The following is a 12,350-nucleotide window of genomic DNA, read 5'->3' on the forward strand; positions in this document are numbered from 1 at the left end:
CTCTGCAATAATTATTTAATAAATTTTCATGATCTTGATCAGAGTTTTTGATGTATTTCTAAGGAAACAGTAAATAGCAGTAGACTTCTACTTAAATACTTCAACATACTTATCACTATTAAATATTTGTATATAGTTTTATTTTGATGTAAAATTTACATACAATGAAATCTTAAAAGTATTCTGAGAACTGACAAATACATGCATTTGTGTAACCAAAACACCTATCAAGATATAAAACATCAGCATCAATTCAAAGACAACACAGTGCTGATTTTTCTACCCTAGATTAGATTTTTCTGTTCTAGAACTTCATATACATGTAATCATGTTTGTTCCTTTATATGCAAGTATGTTAGTCCGCTTTCACACTGCTATAACAAAAAGCCCAAGACTGAGTAATTTAAAAAGAAAAGAGATCTAATTGACTCACAGTTCTGCATGGCTAGAGAGGCCTCAGGAAACTTACAGTCATGGTGGAAGGCAAAGGTAAAGCAAGTACCTTCTTCACGTGGTGGCAGAAAAGAGAGAGCTAGCAAGAGCACAGAAAACTACCTTATAAAACCATCTGATCTCATGAGAACTCACTCAATATCATGAGAACAGCATGAGGGAGACCGTCCCCATGATCTAATCACCTCCCATCTGGTCCTTCCCTCGTCATGCAGGGATTATGGAGATTACAATTTGAGATGAGATTTGGGTGGGGACACAAAGCCAATCCATATCACTGAGGCTTTCTTATTTTTACTCAGCATGAGGGTTTTGAGATTTATCAATGTCATCTGTATTAGTTTTCCACTTTGCTGAGTACTATTCCATTTTACGACCACATGTGACTATACTACAATTGTTTATCCATTCTCCTATTGATGAACACCTTAACTCTCTTCAGGTTTAAACTATTATGAGTAAGACAGCTATGAACATTTCTGTACAAATGTTTTGATGAACATATGTTATTATTTTTCTTGATTCATTTGTGTCTCTATATTTTTGTTTATGGTTTCTTTTAAGCTAATTTTGTATATGGTGAAAATAAGCATAATCATTCATTCTTTCCACATGGATATCTAGTTTTCACATCTAATTCTTGAAAATTTATTTCTCCCCTCTCCTCCTCATTGAATTATCTTGGCACCTTGTTGAAAATTAATTGACCATATATGTATGTTTCTTTAGGGCTTTCTATTCTGTTACATTGATTATATGTCTATTTTTACACCAGCATTACGCTGTCTTGATTATTGTAGTTTTATAGTAAGTCCTATACATTTGTTCTTTTTTAAAATAATTTTCTACTCTTTCGGATTTCCTGCCTTTCTGTATAAATTTTAGAACAAGGTTACCAATTTCTGTAAAAGAAAAAAAACAAGAAGCCTCCTGGAATTCTGACTGAAATACTGAAATTGCATCGATTCTATAGATACATTTGGGGAGGAAAAACTTCTTAACAACATTGAGTTTCTATTCTGCAATTAAGATTATTTGGTTATTTTTACAATTTCTTATGTATTTTTAAATTCTAGAACTTCCTTTTTTGCCTATAATTTTTATTTCTCTTTTAATTCACTATGAGCATATTTCCTTTTACTTTCTTAAACGCAGTTTGTGGAGCTGCTTTAAAATGCTTGTCAGCTACTTCCAGTATCTGGCTCAATCACGTTGGCATCAATCTCCATTTACATTTTCTCATATCTTCTTTTGTCAAGTGGTTTTGGATTGTTTCCCATACATTATGCAAGTTATATTGCAGAGGCTCTGGATTTATGTTTCTCTAAAAGAAAGTTAGTAGTTTGTTTTGTTTGTGCAGGCTTTGTCATTTGTTAGAGTCCACCTGCAAAGGCTCTCTTTCAGATGTCAATTTAAAGCTCAGTTCAGTCGTTTTATTTTCTAGTCTTGAAGTCTGCCCTAAGCATGCATTGTTCATGTGTCAGTCAGAGATCTGGGGAAAAAAAGTTTAAACAAAGAATTTGCATCTCCTCTTCTCTGGCTCTCTTCTTTCTGGGATCCCCCCAATCCCTACCTGACTTTCCAGAAATGGTATTTTCCCCAACTCTGTCCTCTGGTTTTTAGGCCTGAAAACCTGTGGGTTTTGTGTTAGACCTTCACCTGACCTGCCTGGCTCTGCCTGCCACTTGCCCAAAGTATAAAAACTGTTATTAATTAGAAGAAGAAGGGGAAGAAGAGGAGGAGAAGAACGAGGAAGAGGAATATGCAGAGGAGGAAGAGAGGGAGAAGGAGGGTGTTGGGAAGAGGAGAGAAGCAGGAGGAGAAGGAATTAAAATAAGAAACACATTCAGTGCCTTTTGTTTCTCCCAAGTGTCAACTTCCCTCTAGAATCTGTTGATGTTAATTCTCGAGTGCTTTCAGATACTTTACTGTGTTTTGTCCAGAGTTCATAGTTGTTATCTGTGGAAAGACAAATTAGTTAGGAGCTTACCGGTCCTTCCTAGAAGCAGTGACAAACAGAAAATGTAAAAGGCGCTTGTAATTAGAACCTATTGATAAGAAGAGGGCAGCATTGCTTTTAAAGAAATAACTCTTGGGAAAACACTTTAGTGGTCCTTTTGCTTACGTAAAGGTTCAGGTCAGGGCTATAAGGGATAAAGGAGTATTACAGAAAAGGAATGCAAAAGTTGTTCTGCATAATCAAATAACAGAAATACAGTTTCTTAGGGAAGGGAGTGGGAGTTGTTCTGACATAAGAAGAGGATGGGAAAGAAGGGTGACAGTAAATAAGAAACCTTAGCTGGAAACAGGGTACTAAGAGGTGGAACAGCTGAGACAAAAAATAAAAAGACCCTCCAATAGAGAAGAAATTTGGGGTCATGACTGTTATCATGTCATGAAAGTTGTATCATTGTTTTTGTTTTAATACTTTATCCCAGACCTATTGTATACCTCCACTGCAGCAGAGAAAGTGGGGAGTGTATTCTGCTACTCACTTGATTACTTTCCTCTATTGATTACATACTACTTCCTTAGCAGGTATATTATCTGAAAAAAAAATTATCACTAAATTAACTTTAGGACAGCAGTGTTCTAGAAAGAGTAATGATATATAATTTACATTTATGAAAGAAGCAAGCATCCAATAAATTAGAAAATGCATACCATCATCCAAGTACATTGTTAAATATCCCAAGTGCTCACCTTATTGAGTATTTGACAAATGGATTTCACATTTATATCAGTACTATTTTTATGTCATCTGCTGTGTTTGCTTAAATGTATGTGTTTTCACTAACGATGTTAAGTGTACTTAACTCCATTTATACTGTCTAGGAGGGATACTCAGGAAGGATGATCATTTGAAAACATTGAATAGGCCCTGATCATGTGTTACTTATACCGTTGCTGCTGATTCTTAGATTTCAATGATACTTTCATTTTGTCTGTATATGATGCTAAGGGTTGAAATGTTTTCATACAAAAGATTCCTTTATTATTTTCTACACACCCCATGACTCCATGTTTGGAAATATTTGGTTCCAGGTAACAATTTGCCTTCTCATTGAATAGGAAAAATAGAAATAATTGACAAGCAGAGTTCCTGCCTGGGGAAGAATAACAACTAGATTGAAAGAATTCCATCTAAACACAAAATATTTGAGTTTTAGTTAGTCTGGTAGCATTGTCACAGATAAATATACAATTTCTGTTGTATTTATTTTTTAAATTTACTTAGGTTTTTATTTTGTTTTTTTAAAAATATATTTTGAAATGTAAAAGAGAATAAAAAAATCAAAGCACGTTTCATTTTATTTCTAATCTGCACAAATAAGAAGCAAAAATAGTCTGTCAGGTAGCCTGTCCCTGGGGATCCTCGTTAATGTTTCCACAAGTCTCTAGAAATAAGTACCCTGGTTTCATAAACACACTGGCTTTCTAGTCTATACGGATCACACTAGTTTGAGAGCAACAAATTATCAAAGAGGAAAAATCTTCCCTCTAGCATTTCAACATGCTTTTGAGGGAGTTAGAGCGAGATATCTGATGTATCTAAAAAGAGGCCTTTCCTGGTTATAGCAAAACCAATTGTGTGTAAAGGTCTTGGATTTAGAGATAAACTAAGCACCTAAGAGAGACTCATTGGGAAAAGTTGTTTTATTTTAAAAATAATTTTAAAAAATTGCAAAGTCTGTACTACATTATTTACTTTTATGTTTCCTTCCTTCAAAGGCAGAAAAAGACTGATGTTCCAGGTCCAGCAATCAGGCAAGAGGAGTTCCTTCTTACCTGTGGGACGGTCAGCCCTATTGTTCTAATCAAGCCTTCAATTGATTGGATGAGGGCCACCCACATTAGGAGGACAATCTGTTATGGGAAAGTGGTTCTGATCCAGACCCCAAGAGGGGATTCTTAGACCTGGAACATGAAAGAAGTCAGGGCGGGTCCATAGAGTAAAGTAAAAGCAAGTTGATTAAGAAAGTAAGGGAATAAAAGAATGGCTACTCCATAGGCAGAGTAGCAGTATGGACTGCTGAGTTGAGTATATTTATAGTTATTTCTTGATCACATGCTAAACAAAGGGTGGATTATTCATGAGTTTTCTAGGAAAGGAGCAGATATTTCCCAGAACTGAGGGTCCTTTCCCTTTTTAGACCATATAGGTTAACTTCTGGACATTGCCATGGCATTTGTAAACCATCATGCACTAGTAGGAGTTTCTTTTAGCATGCATATGCTTTATATTTAATGTAAAATAAGCAGTGAGGATGACCAGAGGTCACTTTCATTGCCATCTTAGTTTTGGTGGGTTTTGGCTAGCTTCTTTTAGCACATTCTGTTTTATCAGCAGGGCCTTTGTGACCTGTATCTTGTGCCAACCTCCTGTCTCATCTCATGACTAAGAATGCCTAATCTCCTGGGAATGCAGCCCAGTAGGTCTCAGCCTTATTTTACCCAGTCCTATTCAAGATGGAGTCACTCTGGTTCAAATGCCTCTGACAAATCTGCTTTATTCCATCTATTATTTCAAAGATTTACCTCATTCAAAAACAGCCTGACAGACCCACTGAAAATAATATTTGACCAAATATCTGGGCAGCTCATGGTCAAGTCAAGTTGACATGTAAATTAACTGTGATAGAGAGAGACCAGTTCCCTAGGCCATGTCTTGAGCTCTTAAATTTAGGCAGGCTTGCATAAAACTCTACCCTGGGCTTTTCAGTTAGTAAATGATGTATTTCCTTTTTTTTAAAGTCATTTCAGCTATCTTTCTAATTGAAATCTTCATTATTATCTTCATGATATACCAGGACCCATATGGCTCCAAGTGGAAATCATTTGCAAATACCATAGCTGAGATTATATTCTCCATCTGTCATCATCTTCAGACATTTCAGGGGCTAACATAGCTCAATGTTCCACTTGGCTACCAGCCAACACTATTCGTTACATAAATAGAAATAATATGCTGTAGTGTTGTTTTTGCTTCACTAAGGAAAGAGATTCTTCTTTTAAGCTAGAATGTGTGTGTTCATAGTTGTGTCCCCAAACCAAAATATCTCATTGGAATATTAAAAAGACAATCAACTAACAGTCCAGGAGAGCAGGTAACTTTACATCTTAGCATAGTGATTAAAACATTTATACAACCCAAGCAGAATTCAAAATTCTCCTCAATTTCATGCAGTTTGTAAGTTGAAATTTTTCTAGCCCTTGAGATCTCTGTATTTATGACTCTATATAGAGAGAATTCAATCCAACAGGCAATACAGACTGCTGTTTCTAACATTCGCTTTCTGTAGTTTTTTTTAAATTGCAATGACATACAACAATAAAACAATTGCCCCCCACAAGACAGAAACTATACCAACTCATGCATAAAATAAATCATCTAAAGGCAGTAAGACTGCCAACTATTGCTAACAAGATTCATTTTACTTAAAAAATACCTAAAACTTACCCAACCCTATTTTACCTTTTTCTGGGGCCTGATTCTGTTTCTGCATGTTAACGTCAATAGTTAAAAATGGGGTTGAACTCCTGAACCAGGTGACCAGTGCTTCGCTGGACTTTTGCAAATGTTTCTGGAAAGTTATTTATAAATTAAATCAAATCAGAAACTCTCTAGAGGAAATTGTTATCTAAAGAAATTTTATAAGAAAATTTTAAAAAGGAAGGTATCTGGTAAAAGAAAATGTCCTCGGATTTGATGTTCATGTATACATTTTGTTTTTCTTATTTTGGACATGCATTAAGCAAAGTATGTCTAGAGTTCTCCTTTTTGAAAGTCATCAGAAATCAAATGACATTGAGGTATCAGACCACTCTAAAGTAGTGTGCCAGAGCAGGAGGATGTTGGACCTAGTTAACTGAGGACTGTGCCTAAGTGAAATTAAAGCCTTTTCCTCTTCCCTTTTTGAGCCAGATTTATAATATTTGGATTGAAATATTTTTATATATAGGGATAACATATTTATTTTCATAAAGAAGTTCTTTTTTAAGTTAGAAGAAAGGAGAAAAAAAGCTCTCATCTGGTGAGTTTTGAACTCATTCTTTGGCAGGTGACAGAAAGCCAATTCAAACTAGTTTGAGAGAAAAAAAAAATCAGTACTCATGAGCCCCTTAGCAGGATGAAACTATCTAATTCCTCAAATCGTTGCTAAGAACTGACAACTTTTTACCAATCTGAAAAATTTTCTTCCTTTGATTATTGGTGGTACTTACAGTCTTTTTCTATGCCTATTAGCTGTTCAACTGATTTTGTCAATTGCTCATTTGTTTATTTTTATTAAAATGTTTTAAAGTCAAGAATGCTAATATTTTGGTTATTAAGGGTTACACTTGTTATCCTATTGCCTTTTGACCTTATTGTGTGAATTTTATTTTGCTCACCATTTAAAATTTTTACATAGACAACCCTGTCAATCTTTTCCTATATGGAATTATGGGTTAGTTAACACACTTAGAAAAACTTTCCTACTTCACAATAATTTTCTTGTTTTTGTAGTGTCATTTTTTACACTTAAATATTTTATTTGGAATTCTGTTGTAAAAAGTAGCTACCTAGTAAACTTTCCTAAAAAACACTTTTGGTGCTGCAGTTATTGGCCATATCAATTAAAATAGGGACAATCATGGACTAATTTGGCTCGGAAAAATATCATGAATTTTCTTGTTTTGTCTTGGCTTTATTAACTGTATTAGTTAAGATTCTTTTGGTATACTTGTAGTAGTTGTCTTGTGTTAATATTTTAAGTCACATACTGACTTAAAATAAGAATAAACATTTATTATCCTCAGAGTTTCTGTGGGTTATGAATTTTGTAGTGACTTCTCTGAGTGGTTCTGCCTCAGGTTCTTTCATGAGATTGAGTCAAGATGTGAGCTGGAAGTGCAATTATCTGAAAGTTTGGCTGGGACCAGAGGCTCTGCTCCCAAGGTGCTCATCTAGCATGGTGGTGCTGTTGAGGCCTCAGTTCCAGCCCACATGGGCCTCCCACAAGACTGTTTTGTCTTCATGATGTGGTGCTGGTTCCCTCCAGAACTGGTGACCCAAGAGAGCAGGCTAAGTGAAAGATACCCTGTCTATGACCTGGCCTGGAAACTCAAACAGCATTTCTTCTGCCATATTTAATCTGTTAGAAAAGCATTACTAAGGACTCAAGTAAAGTTGCCAGGATTAGAGTTCCCTTTCTCCATCTTCAAGCTCAGCTTTCTCAGCATTAATTTGCTCCAGAGAAGCTCTTCTCTTGGGTTGTAAGATGATGCCAGCTTAGGTTACCACATTCTATCATCTTGATATACTGATTTGCTTAGCCCTGGGTTACATGGTTTACCCCATCTCTAAGATCTGCTTCAGACCACATAAATAGAGAGTGGAGGGAGAATATACCCCTTCACAGAAAGAAGGTATATTTTTAGAAGAAGATGAAACTGATGCTAGTGTGGCAAACAACAAGTGTTTTACTGTACTATCCACATATATGTACACCTGAATGGCCCATCAGTATATCTTAGATTACATTTCACATAGGACAGAAATCACATTTCTCAAATTTATTTTGTATAGTGCCAATTACAGTATCATGCACTGGGTTGGACTCACCTAGTGCTTCTGGGTAATCATTGATGAATGACTTAGCATTAGTTGAGCATGGATACGCAAGACCAGGAATCCCACACAAGTGTAGAATACCAGAATGTAGAGCAAGGTTAAAGGCAGCCTGGGTTCAATGGGTACTGAAGAAGGAACCATGTATTGCTGGGAGACCTTCATAGTGGCAGTTGAAATAGCATAAGTGAGTAGATGACACTGCTTAATGTTTTGTGTTCCTGGGACCACTGAGGAGGAATAGTGTCAAATCCCATCGCAAACCTCTTGAAATTAACAAATGTGAAGACATGTGATTATTCCTTTTGTACAGCATATGCTCCCTTATGTTTATCCCAATTTGGTAGTAACACGTCACAAACTTACAATTTTCCCAAAGTTTACAAACATTATAGAGATTGGGGCTATATTTTACTCTCCTAAAAAGTCTCGTTGCAGAGAGTTCTTGACAACCATGCTGTGGAGATCTCTCGCCTCGTGCCATCATTCAAAGCATCTGTTTAGCTGAATGGCAGCTGGGGAGAAATAGTTGTGAAGGACCCCATAAAGAAAAGATGAAGTGTGCAAAGGGAAACACAGGTGCTATAGTTTCTCATAAAGCCCCTTCTGTGCTAGGAGTGTCTGTGTAAACAGCAGCCCCAGCAGAAAGGTGAAGCTTCCCAAGGAGAGCTAACAATTAATACAATTCAGGTTAGTTCACACTGTTTCTTTTTTCTTTTATTTTACTTTCTTTCTTTCTTTCTTTCTTTTTAGAGACAGTCTTGCTATGTTGCCCTGGCTGGACTTCAGCTCCTGGGCTCAAGTGACCCTCCTGCCTCAGTTTCCCAAGTAGCTGGGACTTCAGATGCCTGCCACCGCACCTAGTTCACATTGTATTTTAAACAACTTTCTCATGATGTAACTACATCTCAGCCTTCATATAACTAATCATGTATTTAGTCACATCCTTGGCATGACTTGCAGAGTGTTAAAGCCAACTTCATCCCCACAGTGTGCATCCTCACCTTCACACAAAGGCTGAAGTCTCGTATGAGTGATGCCTTCAGACAGGTTCTTTGTTACAATGCCAGGGACAACAACAATAGAAAGAAAGTAATCTCAGAATGGGCTCTTAAATGCACATCAATGTCTAGAAAATGAATTTTCTAGTTTCTTTCTCAGCTGCTGTGTGCTCTATAAGAGAGAGGCAGCCCTATCATATTTTAAATTTCTGCATGGTCCCAGGGAGGAGTGCTCTGAGAACATAAAAGTATGTGTCCTTTTGTGTGGGAGAAGGAAGATGATGTTATAGGTTGGAGGAGGACATGGAAGAAAGAAAAAGATGGATTTGAGGACAACACTGTGTACTTGAATTTGCCCAGGGGAAGCTCCTACTCATTTACTAGGGGATAGGAATTGAAGTTTTAGACTATATTAAATTGGTTAGGCAGTTGTGACCTTCAAGTCCATCTTCACTGTATTTGTCAAGGTCAGCCAAAGGAGCGAAATCAATAAGGGTGTGTGTGTATGTGTGTGTGTGTGTGTGTGTGTGTGTGTAAAGAGAAAGAGAATAGGTCAGAGATACAAGTAAGAAGAGTTCAAGTCTGAAGGCACTGTGCTAGCAGAATTCCTTCTTCCTTTGAGAAGGCAGTCTTTTTTCTTTTTTATTTGTTTTTTATTTATTTATTGCATTTATTTATTTTTATGTATATAATAGTTGTACATATTTGGGAGGTACCTGATATACTTTGGTACCTGCATATAATGTGTAGTAATAAAATCAGGGTAATTGGACCATCTATCACCTCAAACATTTGTCTTTTCTTTGTGTTGGGAACATTACGAATCTTCTCTCTAGCTATTTTGAAATATACAATAAATTATTGTTTCCCTACTGTACTATCACATACTAGAATTTATTTCTTCTACCTAACCATATTTTTGTACCTCTTAACCAAGTTCTCTTCACCTTCAACTTATTGAGTGAAGTTCACCTATATTTTGGAGGGCAATCTTTACTCAAAGTCTACTGATTTAAATGCTTATTTCATCCAAAAATACCTTCACGGAAACATTTAGATTCATGTTGGGTCCAATAGCAGGGCACTGTTGCCAGGCCAAGCTGACATATAAAATTAACCATCTTATTCACTATGGCCACTGATAGAGAACACGCCAGTGGTTTTAGGACCAAATCTTCCAATTCTGTCTTGAATAATAAGAAAAGGGCTTCTCGTGATGAAGTTTTTAATTATTCCTCTCAAAACTTATGATTACAGAAATATGACATGTGATAAGGAGTTGGCAACATGATGACCTTTGTCTTATTCCAAGGAGTTCACTGAGCCACATAGTTCAAAGACATTAAATATGGCACCCGTATCAGAGGTGAGAGTTCATACAGCTGTTAATTTCCAGTCTCTGGGGTAAAATAATTAATGTTTAATGATCTGCTGGCAGGGCTCACACCTTATAGATTATATGAAGAAAACCATCACTTTTATAGTTTATTTGTTCACTACTCAGCAAAAACATTTAATGCCTATTATGTGCTAGTATGTGAGCTAGATGCTGAAGAGACAATTAAGTTAAAAATCTCTCTCCTCACAATCAAAATAGAGATACAGGTCAATACCCTTCCCTCCCTAAAACCAAAAACGATAAGTATTTTGAAAGTTCTTAATTCCACTTTGAAGGAGTTAGGTAAAGAAATGATTGTCTGAGGTCACCGTGACTTCTGAAATAAGACTTAAGTGATGAGTTATAGGAATAATAATAAAAGATTCCTTGAGTACTTTTTTATGTTTCAGGCATGGTTATAAGCACTTCCCATGTATTCAATTATGTAATGAGTAATATTTTTCCGGTAGCTCAGGGTGGGATGGCACACAGCATGTAGATGAAAACACAGTGGCCTATGAGAGGAGGACACACATTCAGGGAACTGCAAGTAACTTAGCAGTGGAACACAGGGCTCCTACGCAGAGGATCAGTCAGTGAGACTAAAACCTCTCTCCCTAAGATATTCCCAGTTGTCAACAGGCACTCTCTGGTTTGTCTCTAGTGCCAACATCGATCCTCAGTCCTTTAGACCTGGGCTGTGGAGCCTCCCAAGCCTTCACCCAACAGACCCAGGAACTTGGAATACACTTACTTTTTATTCACAGTGTTAATTGCTTCAGGGTCTCAGCCTGTTTCCTTTGTTAACTGAGTCACCTACCATCCTTGCCACCATCATAGCTGACCCCTCCTCCGGTACCTTGAGTTATAGATTCTCATGATATTTTCTCTTTGTCAACTGGCTTCTACCTGCTTTATATCTTTAAGGAATTCATCACAAATTTTTGTCAAGACAGTATCTTTTATGCTTTAATAATATTCTTGAATTCATCTTTATCTAAATAATTTATAAATATGTATATATTTATGTGTATGTACATATGCATATGTATGTTAAAGGATTTGGGGCATCAGGAGAGGTCAGTATATGCTCATTCCACCATTATGATAATTTTGACTGCTGAGTCAATGAATTAAGCATCCCCATTTTTTTATTTTTATTTTTTATTTATTTTCATTGGTTTTTTTTAGGTTTTGCTGCTGATATTCGTTGCACTGGCCTCGTGGTGAATATTGAAATCCTCCTGACCTTGGAATCAACTCTCCAGTCCTCATCTCAAAACCCAAGGGGCAGTTTAATCTGTCTCTGTAGTTTGAGAGAGCAGGGAGAGACACTCAGCATCTGGATCTGCTGACTGTCCCCGTAGGATCCTAAGTCTTTTTTTCCTTGATGGTCTTTGTCTAGTGTCCTTTCAAAGACTCTCCCTTAGTCCCCTGCTGAGGATCAAAGGAAATAACAGAATGGCTTGATATGCAAACATGGTAGTTTATAAACTACTGTCATCCCAGGCGAGAGGCCCTCTGGGGTACTTTAACTTCCCTTTTCACATTCTTGTGCTGTTCTGTGTGCCTGACTTCTTTGTGGTGGCAGGGTGAAAATGGTTGGAGGACTCAGCTCAGAAAAAAAGGAATTTCTGAAGTCAGAGTGGGGTTCATAACAGAGATTCAAAAAGTTGGAAACACCTTAAGTATGTAGGTTTCTAAGGCCAGTCACTGAAAGGAACAAAAGGTCAAGACATTGGAATTAGAGGAACTGCCTTACAGGATATGGCAGCAGAGCACGAGATCAGATTTTTCCTTAAGCCATCTGGATTTTCTATCAGAATTTCCATCATTTCACCTGAGCACAGTGCTTTGGGGTCCCTGAGAGACCCAGACTGCATCTTTCTCCTACTCTTTTTTATTT

General features: G+C 36.8%; 1 long non-coding RNA gene across 1 annotated transcript; it reads right to left on the reverse strand.

The window, feature by feature from the left end:
- Positions 1-1,321: 1,321 nt before the first annotated feature.
- LOC105370590 (uncharacterized) lies at positions 1,322-6,032 on the reverse strand. Its single transcript, XR_001751017.1, has 3 exons — positions 5,930-6,032; positions 2,949-3,000; positions 1,322-2,412 (listed from the first exon to the last, which is right to left on the reverse strand). It is a non-coding gene; the product is annotated as an uncharacterized LOC105370590 (long non-coding RNA).
- Positions 6,033-12,350: the final 6,318 nt, after the last annotated feature.

The sequence above is a fragment of the Homo sapiens genome, chromosome 14 (genome assembly GCF_000001405.40).
Source record: "Homo sapiens chromosome 14, GRCh38.p14 Primary Assembly".
NCBI classification, from domain to species: domain Eukaryota; kingdom Metazoa; phylum Chordata; class Mammalia; order Primates; family Hominidae; genus Homo; species Homo sapiens.